At 46.3% G+C, this 20285-nt stretch overlaps 1 annotated feature.

Moving 5' to 3' along the window:
* Positions 4840–5340: an enhancer, noted in NCBI's record as "H3K4me1 hESC enhancer chr1:48002646-48003146 (GRCh37/hg19 assembly coordinates)". NCBI's record gives its function as "activates a minimal SCP1, AML or CMV promoter by ChIP-STARR-seq in naive H9 embryonic stem cells {active_cell/tissue: H9 hESC(naive)}" and the evidence as "EXISTENCE:reporter gene assay evidence [ECO:0000049][PMID:30033119]".

Genomic DNA, 20285 nt, shown 5'->3' with positions numbered 1-20285 from the left:
TAAAACTGAATGCTTTTAACAGTACCCAAGTCACCTCTTGAATGCTTTGCTGCTTAGAAATTTCTTCCGCCAGATACTCTAAATAATCTCTCTCAAGTTCAAAGTTCCACAAATCTCTAGGGCAGGGGCAAAATGCTGCCAGTTTCTTTGAGAAAACATAACAAGAGTCACCTTTGCTCCAGTTCCCAACAAGTCCCTCATCTCCATCTGAGACCACCTCAGCCTGGATTTCATGGTCCATATCATTGTCGGCATTTTGGTCAAAGCCATTCAACAAATCTCTAGGAAGTTCCAAACTGTCCCACATTTTCCTGTTTTCTTCTGAGCCCTCCAAACTGTTCCAACCTCTGCCGGTTACCCAGTTCCAAAGTCGCTTCCACATTTTCAGGTATCTTTTCAGCAGCACCCCACTTCTGGTACCAATATACTGTATTAGTCTGTTTTCATGCTGCTGATGAAGACATACCAAAGACTGGGCAATTACAAAAGAGAGAGGTTTAATGGACTCAAATTTCCACGTGGCTGGGAGACCTCACAATCATGGTGGAAGGTGAAAGGCCTGTCTCACATGGTGGCAGACAAGAGAAGAATGACAGCCAAGCAAAAGGGGTTTCCCCTTATAAAACCATCAGATCTCATGAGACTAATCCACTACCATGAGAATAGAATGGGGGGAATCACCCCCATGATTCAATTATCTCCCACTGGGTCCCTCCTGAAACATGAGGGAATTATGGGAGCTACAATTCAAGATGAGATTTGGGTGAGGACCCAGCCAAACCATATCAGATGGATATTGTCAGAGTGACTGAGACCTGCATCCAGGCCAACCTAAATATCACCCTAAGTCCCCTCCTTATATTCTCTCTTAGCTCCCTCTAGCTCACGGGCCCCTTCTAACTCTACTTGGACACAGATAGGCATGCTGTGCCAAAAGGGCTGGGAAACATATGGTCTTAGAGTTTGAGCCCAAGTCCTTCTCCCACCTGCATCAGCCTCCAAGCAGACAGAGATAGACATTCATTAGTAGGTACCACATACCAGGGGGCCAATCAAATAAATCATTCCTTAACTCAATTAGTACTTACTGAATACCTATGTATCAATCAGAGAAAGAACCACCAGAAGATACACAGAATAAGAAATTTAGGGTATAGTGGCTCACACATATAATACCAGCCCCTTGAGAGACTAAGGCAGGACAGTTGCTTGAGGCCAGGAGTTTGAGACCAGTCTGGGCAAAAGTGAAACCCCCATCTCAACAAAAAATCAAAAAATTAGAGGGATGTGGTGCCACTCACCTGTAGCCCCAGTTACTCAGGAGGCTGAGGCAGGAGGATGGCTTATGACTGGGAGGTTGAGACTGCAGTGATCCATGAATGCGCCACTGCACTCCAGCCTGGGTGAAAGCAAGACACTGTATCATTAAAAAAAAAAAAGAAAGAAAGAAAAGTATTTATTATAGTGATTGATCTTATGCAAGTGTGGGAGCTGGTTAGATAGTCCACATGCTTCCATATGAGGGCCACAGGGCTGGCAGTGCAGAAGGGAAGATGATATGAAGCAGGAGAAGCAAGGACAAACTGGGACCCACGAGGATCCTCACCACCCTAAGCCTCTAACTTCAATAACAGATGTTCTCTTGGAGAAGCTAGAACTCTTCATCATAGAACTGCACATGCAACCAGCCCAAGATTCAGGGAAGTTGAAGAGGCAGATGGGGTAAGAGCTGGAGGAGCCACAGAACCCTGGCTGCTGCCCCAGGCCAACCAGGCAAGCCAGGAGAGAAGCAATCAAGAGCAAGAACTCAGGTCCCCACACTGACCTTCCCAGCCCAGAAAGAATATGGCTGCTACTTCACTGCCACCTTCTGAATCTCAGGCAAAATATCTCCTGCAGCCCTTGCTAACCTGGAACTATGCAGGAGAAGGATTTCTGGGAAACAGGGCTCCAGCTTAGCTCAGCTGGCACAATAGAGAGCCACTAACCTGCTGGGTGCCTAGCACAGGACTGGTCAGTGGAGACTTAGCAGAGAAAAATCAGAGTCCCTGCCATCACAGAGCTCACTCTCATGACAAAGACAACAAATAATTTTCATAACATTGCAGTCTGGGCGATACTATGGTAGGGCACATTTAGTTATTGAAAGTCTACCATGGAGAGACAACAGTGAATTAGTTAGGATTACATTCATATCCAAAATAACAGAGCCTTTAACAGATCAAAGTTTTTTTCTCTCTGACTTCAAAAACAGGCTGATACAATGGATCCTACATTGTCAGGGACGCAGGTTCCTGCTGCCTGGTTGCTGCACCATGTGTGGCTTCATTATCTTGCTGTCACTTCATGATCTAAGGTGTCTGCTGGCTGGTACTACAGCTATTAGGACACAATCTCAACCATCAGCTACTAGGGAGGCTGAGGCAGGAGAATCACTTGAACCTGGGAGGCATAGGTTGCAGTGAGCCAAGATCATGCTACTGTACTCCAGCCTGGGCGACAGAGTGAGACTCATAGTGGAACTCATGTCTACTCCCTTCAAGGAGACTTCCCAGAGTTTCATACCTAACTTCTGCTATCAGCCAGAACTCAACATCTAGCCAAAAGGGAGGCTGGAAAACATAGTCTTTATTCTAGATGGCCAGGTGCTTAAGTAAAACTTGACAGTTCTATTACTCTGAAATAGGGAGGAAGTGGATGCTGTGGGTTAACCTACCTCAGGTAATAGACAATAGTGGTCAACATCTGAGATTCTGGAGTTAGACAAACCTAAATTCCATTCCCAGCTCTCCCACTTTACACTGAACAAAGCAATTACCTTCTCTGAGCCTTTGTTTCTCTTAAGTACATGAGAGCATTATCATTACGTGCCAGGCACTATTCTAAGTACCTTGCATAGATTGCTATTCTTAATCCTCACAATGAACCTATGAGTTAAGTTGTATTATCATCCCCATTTTACAGATGAGGAAGCTGAGGCTCAGAGAACTGAGATAACTTTCTCAAAATTATTTCATATATATAAACACATACTTAGTGAGTGCCTGTTCAGTCCCAGGTTCTATTCTGGGCTCTAGAGATGCAGCGAAAAGTCAGACATGGTCCCAGCCCTGTCAGGGCTCCCAGCGGCAGGGAGGTAGAGCTCGGCCAGTTCTTTCCCCTCCTCCAGGCTGCCCCCAATTGCACACATGCAATGGATTGGGAACTGGGTGTAAGGAAACAATAGCAAAATATTTCTTTTTTCTTTTTTTAAAATTTAAGTTCTGGGATACCTGTGCAGGATGTGCAGGTTTGTTACATAGGTAAATGTGGTGGTTTGCTGCACCCATCAACCCATCACCTAAGTATTAAGCCCAGTATCCATTAGCTATTTATCCTGATGCTCTCCATCCCCCCAACCCCACCACAGGCCCCAGTGTGTGTTCTTCCCCACCCTGTGTCTACGTGTTCTCATTGTTCAGCTCTCACTTACAAGTGAGAACATGTGGTGTTTGGTTTTCTGTTCCTGTATTAGTTTGCTGAGGATAATGGCTTCTAGCTCCATCCATGTCCCTCCAAGGGACATGATCTCATTCCTTTTTATGGTTGCATAGTACTCCATGATGTACATGTACCACATTTTCTTTATGCAGTCTATCATTGATGGGCATTTAGGTTGATTCCATTTCTTTGCTATTGTGAATAGTGCTACAATGAACATACACATGCATGTATCTTTATAACAGAATGATTTACATTCCTTAGCGTATATTCCCAGCAAAATATTTCTTTGATTTGCTTCTTCCTAGAGTTCCCAGCCTGGCCCACAACAGGTGTTTGAGAGCATCTTCCCAGCCCAAGGTCAGCACAAACAGCTCACAGAGGGGTCTAGTTGGGGCAAAGAGAAGAAGCCAGTCTATCAATGGGTCACTCAACAGAAGCTCCTGGCCAGACTGACAACAGCCCACTGAAAACAGCAACAGTGATAGTAATCCCAAGGTACACCAGCTTGGGCCTTGTGGTCACAAAGCACTTGCACATCTACTATTGCATAAGGTCCTTCTTTTGTAGAGGAGGATACTGGGGCTTGAAGAAGCTAAGTCACTTGCCTAAGGTGACACAGGTAGTATTCCAGGCAGGTATTCCAGGAAGCATTCTAGAAGGTACAGGCAGAGGTGTGGCACTGCCTAGTCCGTGTAAGGACTGACACACAGCTTAAGTGGCCTTGGCACTGATTGGGACAAGGAGGTGAGCACAGAGGCCATTAATGAGTTTGGTATCTCGCAGTAGGCAGCAGAGATCCAATGGCAGGAATGGATAATGCCCAGCGGGAACCCTGCAGTGGGGCTGCACATTAGAGGTCTTTGGAAAAAAGCAAAGTGTTTGAGCCCAATTTCTTAGGCAGCACCTCAGGGACATAGCTCGAGCTCGCCTAGTCACAGGCCTCAGTGTGCCCATCTGTGACCAGAAGGCTCCTCAGTGACTGTGAGAAGGTGGGTGAGAGATAGCCATTCTCTAGACCTCAGTCTCCACTTCTGCAGAGCCCTTGCCTCACCTCGGTCCCACTCCTGGGCACACAATGCAGGCCACACCACACTCTGCACACTCTAGACTTTGTTCTAAATCAGGCCATCCATCCAACCTGGTGTCAGTGCTTTGCCGGGCGTACCGGGAGACAGGGAGGAGGGGGCCAGGTGGACCGTGGGTTCCAGTGCTGGCCCTGGATTCCTCACATATAGGAAGGAATCACAGCAAAGACCATTCAGGGAGGCTGTGCCAAGTAAATGAGACAACCTCCAGACAGTACCAAATGCTGTACCAGGCACACAAAATACCTTCCATGAAGGGGGGTTCCCTGTTTTCCTCATTGCTTTGCCCAAGAGTCCGGATGGGCATGATTCACAGAGAGAGAATGCCAGAGCTGGAGATCAGCCCCTCATGGGTCCATGACGGTGGAGGCCAGAAAGTTGAATGGACTTTTCCAAGCAACAGTGATGGCAACCCCAATGTACACCAGCTTGGGCCTGGCTGGCAACGCAGACCCAGCCAGGTGTGGCACTCAGGTCCTCTGACACCCATCTGAGAGATCACTGCCCCTCAGATCCATAATGCTATGCAGGTTATGGGGAGCTTAGTTATTGATGCTGGGACCTGCAAAGTGGTAGCCAGGGTCTCACTCTGTCCCTGACGAGCATTCAAGAAGCCCAACCCAGCCACGTCCCCATTAACATCTCCACCGCCTATTGCTTTGAGGAGCAACTGTATGATTTGTGATTTCTGACATTTGTGCCCTTCTCTAACCCCTCCCCCCTTTCCTGTTTGGCCTGTGAATTGGAAAGGGCTGTAAACAGGCAGGCGGTCTCCTCGCCCTGGGGCGGGCCTGTCAGCCAGCCAAGGAAAGGTAGGACCCAGGGGACCCCCACCCCCACCCGCCCCACGCAGCCCAGCTGAGGAGCTTGTAAAGATAGGATTTGTTTGTTTTTTTGGATCTGGCTCAGGATCTGGTTGAGGCCAGGCCCTTTGGGGAAAAGCAACTTTTAAATAAATGCTTCAAGATTGCGCAAACATTTCAGTAGTATTGGAGGCCTGGCGTTCTGGGTCAGGGAGGGAAAAAAATACCTGTCAATCAGTCTAGAGATGAAAACCTGATAGCAGAATGGTTGGTGAGGACTAGGGCTTGGGTTGCAAATCTCAGTTGTGGCTGGCTAAGACTGAACTACACTTAAGCCCTCTCTCAAAAAATCATTTGCACGTTAATCAATAGAGCATCCCTGTTTGACCGACACACAGAGCACAAGGCGCTTGCAATCAGATCCATGGGATGTGTGCAAAAAGGACAGACTCTTTTTTTTTGAGATGGAAGTCTCATTCTGTCGCCAGCCTGGAGTGCAGTGGTGCGATCTTGGCTCAGTGCAACCTCTGCCTCCTGGGTTCAAGCAATTCCCCTGCCTCAGCCTCCCAAGTAGCTGGGACTACAGGCGCGCACCACCACGCCCAGCTAATTTTTTGTATTTTAGAAGAGACGGGGTCTCACCATGTTGGCCAGGATGGTCTCGATCTCCTGACCTCATGATCCTCCCACCTCGGACTCCCAAAGTGCTGGGATTACAGGCGTGAGCCACCACGCCCTGCCCAGACTCCTTTTTTGAGGCAGACAGAACTGAATTTTAGTCCTGGCTCTGATACTGATTAGTTCTACAGTCTGGGTAAGTTATTTAGTATCAGTTAGCCTCAGTTTCTTCACTGGTAAAATGGGATTGTAAGTTATTGTAAGAATAAAATGAAATACAGATTGCAACATCAAACCTGACCCAAGCAAAAGCACAGTAATAAATAATGACAATTTTATTACCTGCCACATATCAAGCATTTTCAATGAGTGAGAACTTGCATCCATTTGCAGTGAGCCTCAAAACACATCCTGCCTGGCCAGGCATTCACAAGCATATCCAACATACCTATTCCACACCAGGTCAGGTCTCTGTTGGCCAAGAGTTAAACTCAGCCTCTGACCTCAGAGCTCATGGTCTTGAAACAAGGATGCTCCAAGCTAACACTCTAAGCTGGGCGAGAAAAGTGTATGCAGAGCATGAAACAGGGAAAGAAAGAGATGGTTCTGTGGGCTTCTGTGAAGAGTGGGATCTGTGCTGGGTCTTGAAGGAAGAATAAGACGTCCACAGGCAGGCTTTGGAAAAGAGCATTCCAGATGCAGGGACCAGTTTAAGCAAAGGCTCCAAAGCAGGACCTATATACAGAAAGTTAGGATGCAGTAAAGAGGTTATTTGGGAAACAAAGCTGTCAAAGTTAGGCCGAGGTTGAAGAGCAAAGAATCCTGCACGGAGAGGATCTCACTTGGTTCTCTGGGCCAGAGGAGTGTCTCCTCCTGCTCCACACCCCCCTTCTTTTCCCAGCACCTGTGTAACTAAGGCAACAGCCCAACCTCTCTATGTCTATATATCCCAACCTCAACGGGCTCCTGGAGGTGAGAGGGTTTTGAGCAGGTTAAAGTGCCACCAACACTGAGTACTGAGTACTGAGTTTACATGTACACACACAGACAAGCACATATGCATATGCTCACGCACCTATGCACAGGCTCAGGAATCAGAAAGACTTGGCTTCTGATCCCAGCTTCTCCGTTTACTGCAGCATAATCCCAAGCAACGCATGTATCTAATGCATATAAAGCACCAATGTGATGTGTGCCATGTGGCAGGCACATACGATATGGTCATCATCTAACATGCTGACACACTCAAACTATCTGTTTCTCCTTCAAGAGGAAACTAGCACCTAACCCCATAACTTCATGAGACCATGCAGCCCAGAGATCAGCCCCCAACTCCTTCGTGTTACATATGCGGAAACTGAGGCTCAGAGAAGAAAGAAAGCAAACACAACTCGGAAGCAGAGGAGCACATGGCAAGAAGGCTTCCTGGAATGAGCAGTCATCGTGCTGAGTCTTGGAGATAGAATAGGACTCCCAAGGTGGCTCCATGTGGGAAGAGCATTTTAAGCAGAGCGAACAGCATGAGCAAGTGTCCAGAGATGAACTCAGGGAAAGGCCAGTCACCTAGTCTGGCAGGGCCAGGGATGGGGTGTGATAAAGATGAAGCTGAGGAGCTGGGGGAGGCTCTAAAGTCCAGGCAGGGAGGGCCTGCTAGGGCATGCTAGGGAAGCCAGAGGCCCTTGGGAGCAATGAGGAGCCCGATGCTGAAGGACAGCAGCGTGAGTCAGCATTTCAGAAAGATCCCTTCAGTGTCCGAAGCAGGACCAGAAGCTTGGCCCAGGGCAGTGCCAGGAGGGAGGGCAAGAAGTGAGTGGATTTAAGAGACACTGAGGAGATACAAGACTCCTCAAAGAGCATTTATTTCCTGGAGATGAAGACAGAGTGGACACGAAGCAAGCTGACACTCAGGGACTGTAGCTGTGGGATTTTGAACAGAGGAGCATGCTCAGAACAGGGGGCTTCCTAAGGACTTCTCCCCACAGCCAGCCACTGCCCCTCCTACAAGGAGTCCTGCACCACACCCCATTCCATCCCCGTGTGGAGGGCAAAGGCCTCAGACCCACAGGAGGAGGCCCATAGAGCAAGGTGGAGAAGAAAGCCCAGCTCCCCTCGAGGGGGGTGCCAGGGTGGCCCAGTCAGCGGGCAGTGGACCAACTTCTCCTCCAACTCTATCTCCATCTGGCTACCTGCCTAGGGCTGCCCTCAGCCTCTTCCTGTGTGCCTTGGAGCCAGCCCCTCGCTGCTCTGACCCTCAGTCTCCTCTTGTGTAAAGGGAAGGTAACAATTCTTAGCAAGTGAGGCTGCTGTGATCATTCAGTGAAGTGGCTGGCAGCTGCCATGCCCAGAGGGGATGCTCAAAGGGCGTCAGTTCCTTTCTCTCAGTAAATGATTCCTTTTATGTGTGATGTGTCCTTTCCAATTTACAAACCCTCTTCATTTACCTGCACACAACCCCGTGAGATGAATATTAGCCTCACCCCGGTGGACCGCCTGGGCGGGCAAACGCTCTCTCACGCTGGCGGGCAGGATTTGAACCCGGGTTCCTAGGGCTCTGCAGGCCGCCACTGTCCCCGTCCTCTCTCTGTCTCCGGCTTCTCCCGCCTGGCCTGCCGCGGCCCGCCGCCCCCTCCTTCCTCCCCTCTTCCGCCCGCCCCCTGCCCCCTGCCTCCTCCCTCCGCCTTCTCCCACCCCCTGCCCCTCGCGACTTCCCCCTCCCCCCCGATCCTCCGGCGCCGCCCCCTCCTCCTCCTTGTCCTCGCAGCCCAAATACGCGACACCTGGAGCAATAGCAGCCGCCCGGCGGCCTGGGCCTCATTACAGGCCGGCCCTTATCGCGGCGTGCATCACATTATTTCATTTCAAAGAATCCGCAGAGAAACCCGTCCCGGCCGACAACAGAAAGTAAAAACACAGCTGACTCCCATTAGGGCCCTCTCACAGGCTCCGCGTGAGGTAATGAAATATGGAAGCGGTGAGATATGTAATGCTTTATTAAGCGGTCTCAGCTACAACGGCGTGCATGCCAATTACGCCTGCAGGCTACCGCCCGCCCCCGGCTGCCGGACCACCCAGCGCGCCTCCCCCCGAGTCCCGGACGGGGAGAGGAGGAGCCAGGGGAGGAGGCGGGAGGAAGGGAAGGATGGGGAGGACAATGGGGGAAGAAGAGGGAGGATGGAGGAAGGGGGTGTGAGGGAAGGAGGAGAGAGGAAGAGGAGACAGCGGAGGTGACCAGTGCCAGCTGTGGGTCACAGCCTCATGTGGCCTGAAAGCCAGGCCTATTCTCTCCCCGAGGCCAATAGGCCCCTGGGAATCTCAGAGCTGGAGGACGCCTAGATTCCTGGAAGACCAGAAACGGAATCGCCAAAAATAAGGCTCAGAGAGGGAAGGACACTTACTGAAGTCACACAGATGAATCCTGAACAAGTTTGGAGGGAAATCAGGCCTCCTGTTTCTTAAACTAGATAGCTTCCATTCTATCAGACTACCTCTTCTTTTTCCCCTAATAATGTCTAAATGACAAAGTCCCGGACTTGTGTGGATGAGAGACGTGTTCATTTTTTACATCTGCCCTTCTGATGCCCTGAAATCCTCTGTGCTCCACCCTCCCCACACCCCCACCAACACATACACACTCTAACTGATCCTACATGTTTGCCGGAGAACACCTCATTTATTCAGTAATAAGAACTGAACAGCTACTGTGGCCAGGTGCTGAAGAAACAAAAATGAAACATTCATGCTGTCTGCCCTGGAAGAGCTCACAGTCTGGCAGGTGAAAATAACACCTAAACCAATAAGAGAGAGTGTACGGCCTTAGTGGAGTACCTGTCGCATAAAGAGAATCAGGCAGATCTTCCCATAAGGTCAGGGAAGCCCCAGGACATGTGATGTTGGTACAGTCTTGTGAGGTGAATAGGAGTTAGGAGAATAGGAGGAGAAAGCCCTGAGAAACCTGCCTATGAAAACTTTGGAGCACTGAGTATCCACAACTCATTCAAGGAATGACTAATATTTTTAGGAGGAAGGAATAGGACCAATGTTAGCTAAAGTGTAGAGATGGAGAGCACCAGAGGTTTTGTTAAAGTAAATTATTTAAATCAGTGAAAGGCAGGGTACTCATTCGTTTCTTGATAATTGTTTTCCTTTTAACCTTGCTCCCAATAGAATTTCTGCAAGCTATTCATACTATTTTAGAGTAGAAAGGTTCAGACCTCTGTTTTCATCATACAGGTGACATTACCCCCATTTTACAGATGAGGCTCTGAGAAGTAATTTGTATCACACAGAAAAAAAAAATGGGACTTTCATTTATTGTGAACTTAGTATGTGCCAGGTACTCTACTAAGGATTTTATATACATTTATTATCTCATTTGATCTTCAAAAAAAAAAACAAAAAACAAAATCCTGTGAGAACGTTTCCTAAAACTAACTTCTTTCACTCTTTATGTCTTCGGACAGGCTGTTCCTCCTGCCTTACAAGTCTTCCTTTTCCTTTACCTGGTGCACTATTTAGGCTTCTGGCTAAATAATGGGCTTCAGACAAAAGAGCCAACAATACAGTAGTTCAGATAGGGTAGAAGTTTATGCACTTCTCATGTAATGGCTTGAAGATAGGCATGTGGCCCAAGGTGAATGGGACAGATGTGCTCACCAAGCTCATCTGGGGGCTCAGGTTCGTTCTATTTTGTTGTCCCACCATCTCCTTATGGCCAAAACTTGTTCACTCACATCATGGCCACATTCCAGCCATGGGAAGTGGTGGCAAGCGATTTCACTTCCACTTGCTTTTAGTTAGTATAGAAACTCAGTCCCATGGCTTCACCTAGCTGCAAAGAAGGATGATAATTATCATCTCTAACTAAGTGGCCATGTGTCCTGCTAAATCTGAGAGGAATATTTCTGTTATTTAAAGGAAGAAGAGAAGAACAAAATGGGGAATGAACAACATACGCCACCACCCCTACTTGTCATTTATGGTCCAGTTTGAATGTTTCCTCCTCTGTGAAGCCTTCTTGGATACTTCCCCAATTAATTATCCCATCATCTGTGTTGTTTTTGTTTTTGTTTTTTGAGACCAGTCTCGCTCTGTTTCCCAGCCTGGAGTGCAATGGCGCAATCTCAGCTCACTGCAACCTCTGCCTCCCGGATTCTAGTGATTCTCTTGCCTCAGCCTCCCAAGTAGCTGGGATTACAGGTGCCCACCACCACACCCAGCTAATTTTTGTATTTTCAGTAGAGACAGGGTTTCACCATGTTGGTCAGGCTGGTCTCGAACTCCTGACCTCAGGTGATCCACATGACTTGGCCTCCCAAAGTGCTAAGATTATAGGTGTGAGCCACTGCACCCAACCCGTCTGTGCTTTTATCCAGTCCCTTGTACTTTGCTGCTTTATACTTCTCAGTTTGCAGGCCTGTCTCCCCAGCTGGCCCTTTAAGCTGTTGTTTCCTCATCTGTAATAATACACCCTATAAATAATGATCACTTGCTACATCCTAGGCACTCTGCTAGGCAAGTCTGGTTTTGTTGTTGTTGTTGTTGTTGTTGTTGTTGTTCTTTGTAGAGATGGGATTTCACCATGTTGCCCAGGGTGGTCTCGAACTCCCAAGCTCAAGTGATCTGCCTGCCTTGGCCTCTCAAAGTGCTGGGATTACAGGCATGAGCCACTGCGCCCAGCGAGCTAAGCAAGTCTTATGCATTAACTTATTTAATCTTCCCAGAACCCTGGGGATTTCCGTCTTTGTAAAATGAGAATAGTAATGATATTGACTTCATAGGATTGCTGTAAGGATTGAAACTGGTATTGAAATGGGTATTGAGTACATGCTTAATGCTTAATAAATAAGAGCTACTACTGTTGTCTAAGTATGGATTAATAAATCTACCAACGTAAGGGGTTAGTCCAGTTATAAACTATGCTCCCTGCCCAACACAGCTAACAGCTGACCTATAAACATTAACCTTACACCAGGGTATGTAGGCACCTAGAGGTGCACGGTCAAAGAGGGGCTCTTGGTAAGGTGGGAAGTATTCTATGAATACAAAATACAGTCAGCCCTCATTATATGTGGGTTCCTATTTGCAGATTCAACCAACAGTGGATCAAAAATATTCCAGAAAATAAAAAATAAATAAATACATAACAATATAACAATAAAAATAATACAAATGTGTAAAAACTATTTACATAGCATTTACATTGTATTGGGTATCTAAGTAATCTAGAGATGATTTTAAGTACACTGGAGGTTATATCTGTAGGTTGTAGGCAAACATGATGCCATTTTATATAAGGGACTTGAGCTTCTGTGGATTTTTGTATCAATCTCCCCTCAGATACTGAGGGATGACTATATCACAGTCCTAGAAAGCACTACTGTTATTTTCCTACCCTGAGATAAGAAAGCAAATTTACTCAATCTAGCCAGAACCATGGCTCAAAGCAGACTGAGCACTGTGTTACATTGCTTCCAGAAATGTTGCTTAATATAGTATAATTTGTATTTTAATGGAGGGGAGGGGACAGTAATTGATTAGATACAGTGCATAAATTGCTGGCCACAGAGATTAACTGGCCACAAAAGGAAGATTATAGTTTGGACACATAAGCTATTTTAGACACTATCACTACCTGGTGGCAGCAAGAAGTATTGCAGGCATAGAATCTCATTCAGTCAAATGAGGCAAAAATTCCCAAATACCAGTTTTGAATTGTTTTAATATGCTAGATATAATCAGGACCTTTTCAAAACATTTGGCTTTCTCTCTCTTATCAATAAGCTGCCCCAGGCCATTTCCGTTGTTCTTGGCCACTAGCATTTCCTGTATTTTTTCTTCTTTACACTTTAGAATTTCTGAAAACAGAATGTGTTTTACAATAGTGGGTCAGCCTCCAAGAGGAAGAGTAAGTTGTCAGGTAGTTCTCTCATGTTTATGCAATGTTACTTCAATTGTGTAATCTACAACGATAATAATATACAGATTGACTGTTAAATTTAGATCCCTAATTATTGCTCTAAGTGTACCACAAAAATATTAAATTTGGTGCAAAAATAAATTTGGTGTTTATGCAAGAGATGGACTGTTACCCACCAGTCAGTGCAGTAACTGGCAGTTAAACTTGCCTTGGCTCTCTGAATATATCAGAGAATTTTCTGAGATGGTTCTGTCAAATTGATCCTTCAGGTCCTATAACTTGAGCACTAAACACCTGCCTATCAGAGCGTCCAGCTAACTTTCAATAAAAGCTATTTAACTTCCAGAAATATGCAATGCAGATAATGGAACAGAAAGGGGAACTGTGTGTTTATTCAAAGCAGAAATGCACACAAAATACCAATATTATTCAATATATCTTGAGATCATACTGTTAATTTTAAAGAAATAAAGTTCACATCCATGAGATACAAAAACAGCACCATAGCTATGATATTCTGCATAATTGCTGATGACCTAAAGGAATTCAACAGAATAGAGATGTTCCATTATACCCTCAAACACTGATTGTGATCCTGAAAAAAAAGTGACCAGTTGTAGAAACAACTGCATGTTGTCAGTTATTTTTCTTAAGTGTGTATTTTTAATGTGCAATTCTCCCCGACTCCAAAGTGTAATTAAATCAATAGGGCATCTTACAAGTTGTAGTGCCTTAGTATCAAGAAACTCCAATTTCAGTTGACACTAAGCTGCTCTTCAGAGAAGAGGTGTTCAATATCTCATTAGCCCCTGGGTTCTGACACTCATTCTAGCATTAAGTTCTCCCAACCATGACATAATAATAATAACAATAATGATAATACTACCAATAATACTAATGAACACCTGTATAGTACTTTACTATTTCCAGAGTGCTTGCATGTATTTTCTCATGTCATCCTCACAACAGTTCCTGAAGACAGCTCCTTTTTATAGATGAGGAAATGGGGCTCAGAGAGATGACCTGGCCTAGTTAAGGTCACACAGTGTGACTGACACCCGCCATACCCCTCTCCTCCACACACCGTCATCTTTAGCCTGACTTCCTTTCGCTCTTTCTTCATCCCTTCTCTGTCTGTTTCCCTTATCTCTCCAGGCATCTCTATCTTCCTGTCTCTGTCTCTCTCTATCCCTGTCTTTAGGGCTCATTTTCCTATTTCCTTGCTCTTTTTTCTCTTTATCTCCCCCCTCTCTGTTTTATGATTCTGTATCTCTTTAATTTTCTATGTCTTATTGCTTTCCCTCTATTTTTGCCTTCTTATGCCCGTCTGTTCTCTCTTCTTCTTCTCCCCTCTTCCTCTCCTCCTCCTCCTCCTCGTCCTTCTCTCTCTCCATCCCTCCCTCCTTCCCCTTGTTTCTCAGAGCCTGAAGATGAATGTTTTGTCTCCTGACGGGCAACATCTTTCTCTTCTCTAAGGATAGACCTACGCAAGGAAGGAGGGAAAGGAGCATGGGGTAGCAATGAGGAGTCACCTTGGCCTTTGTCGCCCCCTAGAGTCTGCTCATTCTGCCCAATCTTCCTGCCCCAGGCTGATCCCCTTTAGCCCCAACCAGTGACTGTTGGGGAGAAGCCAGCCAGGGACCAGCCTCCACATATTCTACCTGTGTGTCCGGAAAAATAAAAAGTTAAATGGAGAGTTCTGGGCATCTTGACAAAGAAAATATAACTAACACCACACTCGGAGTCCCCAGAGCTGGATTAGGATCACCTTGTCTTTCTGAGCATCCATTCCTCACCCATGAAGTGGATTACCTTGCAAGGGCTGTTTTTAGGTATTGATTAAGGCCTTGACTGTGAAAACGCCTGCCACGTGACAATTGCTCAATAAATATTTGTTAATTTAGACACAGAGTCTAACAAAAGGAAGACTGTTGAAACAGTAGAGAAGGATGGAGTGTTTAGAGTAATGAGAGATGTTACATCAGCTTCATGTTCTACAGTTGCAGAAGTGACCGCAAATTCTTCCTATTCCATCAAGAGATGGAGGCTATTTTCTCACCTTTGAATCTGGGTTGGCCGTGTGATATGCTTTGGCCAATGGATCGTTAGCAAATGTAATGCAAGCAGAGGCTCTAAAAGTGCCTACACATCGAGTGTTCTCACTTATAAATGGGAGTTAAGCTAGGAGGACGCAAAGGTGTAAGAATGATACAATGGACTTTGGGGACTCGGGATGGGGGGAGTTGTGGGGAGGGATGAAGACTGCATATTGGGTACAGTGTACACACTTCAGGTGATGGGTGCACTAAAATCTCAGAAATGACCGCTAAAGAACTTATCCATGTAACCAAAAACCACTTGTACCCCAAAAACTATTGAAATTTTTAAAAAAAGTTAAGTGCTTATGCATTGAGGTTTACCTACTCTTGCTGCCTTTGGAAGACTGTGACTACCACTATGTGAAGAATCCCAGTGCTGGCCTGCTGGATGATGAGAGATGTGTGGCCCTTGTACCCTTGTCACCCCAGCCATCAGCCAGCCAACTGCCAGGTATGTGGATATGGCCATCACTGTCATCTAATCACACGCATAAGTGTCTTGGTTATTTATAGCTGCATAATAAATTACCCCCAAGGCAGCTTCAAACCATATTTCTTCCCTCAGTTTCTGAGGGTCAGAAATCTGGGAGAAGTTTAGCTGAATGATTCTGGCTCAAAACATCTCAAGGTTGCAGATAATTTGGTTATCTCAAGGCTAAACTGGGACTGGTGAATCTGCTTTCAAGCTCAGTTACCTGATGATTAGCAGGCTTGAATTCCCGTCTGGCTATTGGGCAAGGGCTTTAGTTCCTCACCATGTGGGCCTCTCCATAGAACTGCACACAATCTGGCAGCTAGCTTCCTCCAGAGTAATTGATCTGAGAGAACAAGAAAGCATGAATGAGAGTGACCCACACAGAAGGTGCAGTCTTTTATAACCTAATCTCAGAAGTGACATACCATCATTTCCACTATTTGCTAGTGATCAGAGTGCAACCATGCTACAGTGTGGGAGAGAACCACCCAAGGATGTGAATACCAGTAGACAGAAATCATAAAGGATCATCTTGGAGACTGGCTGCCACAATGCCTAATAAGCCCAACTGAGACTAGCAGAAGAACCAAATGGCTAAGCCCAGCCCTGGTTGCCAACCCACAGCTTTATAAATGGTGTTGTCATAAATTTCAGGGTAGCCAGTTAAGGAGAAATAGATAACTGATGCAAATACCATATGCCCCAGCATCACCTTCTTGTTTATCATTCAATTTAGACTTGTTTACCACTAGTCTAAAAGAATCCCCCACCAGTCACCAGCAGGGTGGATCACGTCTGTATAAGCTGAATAGCTCTGCAGAGTCTGCAGAGGGCTTGACTCTGGCTGCCACTCAGCCCAAGAAAGCTCAGAATGGGCCAGTCTCCTTCTGATTGTGGCTGCTACCCAGACAGAGAGCTCCCAACTCCACTCTACCCAGCCCTCTTCCTTCTCTGGAACCACCTCCTAGGTAAGATGAGTCTTTAGAAGAGAGGCACATGAGACCAAAGGACTTGGGGCTGGCAGGAGCAGGAGAAAACAGTCAACACCTGCCACACTCTGCCTTTACTATGGAGTACAGCCATGACTCAACACACATTGCAAAGCATAGTGCAAGCCTGCTTCAAGGAACTGAACATCAGGACCTGAAAGGTCCTCAGCAGGAAGCTTCCTTAACCCCTTATTAAACAGATGAGGACATTTCCCCAAAGTCACACCATGAACCTGCAGCAGCAACAAGGTTAAACCCAGCACTTCTGTTCTCAGCCCTGGGCTTGTTTCTTTGCCATATGCAAAGAGCACATTGCAACCCTGATAACATTTCTGTTCAGAACAGAATGTATTTTTAAATATTGCCCATCTGGGACTCAGAGAACAGCCCAGGGCAGCAAGGAAGAACCAGCAAGAACAGAAAGGGGAAAGGGGAACTTATTACCTAATTACTTCTCACTAGTGTGACACCCTCCTGCCCCTTCTCCCCACTCCTTGTAACCCAGGACTCCTGCCTGCTCATATAACCAGACCCCATTGAGGCATTTACCCCAACCTGCACTTCCCAAGAGACACATGTCAATAATAGAATATCTGAATCAGAAGCAAAAGTCCTGGAATCTTAGCATCTCAGAAGAGGAAGGGACCCTCTCCTGGACTGTACTCTCTTCATGACAAGTGGCATTTCAATCTCTGCTTACATACTCCCAGGGACCAAGAACTCACCACCTCCTGAGTTGGTTGGAAAGAGTTTTAGAAACAGATCTAACGCAGTTCAAGTCCTAGCTTTGTGACAGACAGCTGTGCAACCTTTGATAAGTCATTGACCTCTCTACGCCTCATAGTCCTCCTCCACAAAATAGCAATAATGCCACAACAGGTTTATTGTGATAATTAAATAAGTTTATCAATGCATGCAAAGTTCCCTGAAAGTAATCAGCACACCACAATTTTTATGATAGGCAGAAGCTAAGAACTGTAGACACAAGGATCCTTTCCATTAGCAGTACCTACTTTCCACCTGAGCACCCCACCCCAAACACACAGAGCTGCAAGACATTTAGGGTGCCCCTGAGGTTCCTCCTTAGACACAAAAAGTCAAGAAAAATTACCTATCATCTCAGGCATGCAGGAAAGGACCGGACAGTAGGGTACCAGAGGGTGAGAAGGAGGGGATTGCTCACGTGGATGTGTCAGGCTTAGAATATCCAAGGATAAGGGAAGGGAGAGAGAGAGAACGATTGCAGATATGCACTAGTGAGGGGTGATGGAAAGGTTTTAGCAGGAAGTCACATGGACAGAGCTAAGATCCCATAGGCCGGGCACTGGTTGAAGGGGGTTAAGAAATACCTCCCACAAGGCGTGGTGACTCACGCCTATAATGTCAGCATTTTGTGAGGCCAAGGCTGGAGGATTAATTGAGCCCAGGAATTCAACACCAGCCTGGGCAACATAGTGAGACCCCGTCTCTACAAAAATTAAAAAATTAGTCAGGCATGGTGGTAAGTGCCTGTGTTCCCAGCCACTTGGGAGGCTGAGGTGGGATCATTACTTGAGCCGAGGCAGTAGAGGCTGCAGTGAGCCATGATTGTTTCACAGCACTCCAACCTGGGTGACATAGCTAAACTCTGTCTAAAAAAAAACAAAAAGAGAGAGAGAGAAAAGAAATAACTCAACTCTGCTTTGAAGGCTAAATAAAGGCCACTCACAGCTTTGTTCCTTCAACAGCAGAAGTTGGCAACTTCGAGATATGAAATCAGAGGCGTGAGCCATTCAGATAGAGAATTTGACACTTGGGGGCAGGGGCGCACCTCTCAGCATCCATATCATCTGCCACAAAGCAAAACAAATTTGCAAGCCAGTCATTGAGTGTGGGAAGTTGCTAGGGAGCAAGGGACAGGAAATGGAAATTGATTACACCTTCCCATTGTCATTCACCCACAATATACAAACTGCCACAGGAGCCTTTTAATTCAGTGTGCTGCCTCTGTGGTTCATTTTCGTGTAATTAAACAGCTCTGAGGCCCTGCTGGGCTTGCTTTTGAGCTCACCATCTTCCACTGCCCCTTCACATCCACCTTCTACCCTTCTTGCTCTCTTCTGTGCCTCCAAGGCTGGCATGTAAGGACTACACTGATAGGACAGTGGAGACTCGGCAGAGTCAGAGGGAGAGCTGGCACACCAGGAATTGGCACATCCCTCTAATTGGAAAGCCACAGCCCCTGGCAGCCAACACCTGCCATAGAACGGTCTCTCCAGTTTTCAGTACCTAGCGGTGGTACTAGCTTCCTGACGTGACCAGCCCCAGAGCACTGCCCCATCCCTTATTGCTTTTTTCAAGCCCTCCCTACACTTTTGTAAATAGTCCCTTCTAGAAACTCACCTCCATACCTAGAATGGGCAAATTCAGAGAGATAGAGAGTAGAACAATGGATACCAGGGGGAGGGGAAGAGAGAATGGGGAGTTCGTGTTTAAAAGGGTACAAAGTTTCGGTTGGGGAAGATAAAACCATTCTGGAGATGGATGATCGTGATGGTTACACAACAGTGCGAATATACTTAATGCCACTGAACTGTATACTTAAAAGTGGTTAAAATGATAAATTTTATGCTATATACATTTTACCAACATAAAAAAAAACTCACCAACATTAGCCAACCTTAGCATGCCATCTGTTTCCTCCTGGCATCCTGCCTGAGATATTTTCCCCCAGTGCTGTTTTCCCCAGCAGGTCCAAAGTCTGTGAATCTTGGACCATGGGAGTTTCAGGACACTGACCTCAAGGTCAGGGCAGCTGGACTCCCACAGGTTATATGCTCGCTGAATGCAATGGAGACCATTGAAACTGAGCTGAATAGAATGGACACTCCTGTGCTACGGACTGAATGTCTGTGTCCTCCTCAAAGTTCATATGTTGAAACCCCAATCTCCAATGTGAGGATATTTGGAGGTGGGGCCTTTGAGAAATTATTAGGGTTAGATTAGGTCATGAGGGTAGAACCTTCATGATGGAATTAATGCGCTTATAAAAAGAAAACATGAGATCCCAATGATTCTCTCACCTCTCTCTCTCTCTCTCCCTCTTATACAGCAAGAAGGCAGCTGTCTACAAGCCAAGAAGAGAGCCCTCACCAGAACCCAACTATGCTGGAAGCTGGCACCTTGGTCTCGGACTTCCAGCCTCCAGAAGTATGAGAAAATTAATTTCTTTTATTAAAGCCACACAATCTATGGTATTTTGTTATAGGAGCCCAAGCAGACTAACATACCTGGGAGGGTGCATAATTCTGGGCTCCCACAGACATACCTGGAAAGGATGGTCACACATGAGGATATTCATGACCTGGTCTGCAAACTTGGTTCCAGACCAATGTTTCTTGTTCTCTGATTGTTTCACATGCCAGTTCCAGCTCCTCACACAGCTGGGGGCCAGGAGATGGATCCTTACTCTGCAAATGTCTATGTGACCTTGGGCAACTCTGTCCCCTCTCTGGGCCTCTGTTTCCCTTTTGTACAATAAAGGAATTAACAGTGATATTCAAACTTTTAACCAGAAGAATCCATTCTTCAAATGAAACCTTAGAGAGAAGCTCAAAGTCAAAGCAAAATAAAATCAGGGCTACTCAGGCTGAGGATGGGGTGGCAGGCCCAGAGCTCCACTTCTTTCCTACATACCCCATCCTGGTAATTTCCAGAAAATACCAGTGTTGTAATTTCTGAACCCTAGGGTTCCATGAGGCACAGTTTGATGATCACTTTCCTAGATGGCCCTGTTTGGCAGGGTGTGGTGGGGACAGTGCTGAGCATGTGTGCTCAG

This window comes from Homo sapiens, chromosome 1 (genome assembly GCF_000001405.40).
Source record: "Homo sapiens chromosome 1, GRCh38.p14 Primary Assembly".
NCBI classification, from domain to species: domain Eukaryota; kingdom Metazoa; phylum Chordata; class Mammalia; order Primates; family Hominidae; genus Homo; species Homo sapiens.
Note: the sequence above shows the minus strand (reverse complement) of the source record. Positions and strands in the feature narration are given on the sequence as shown.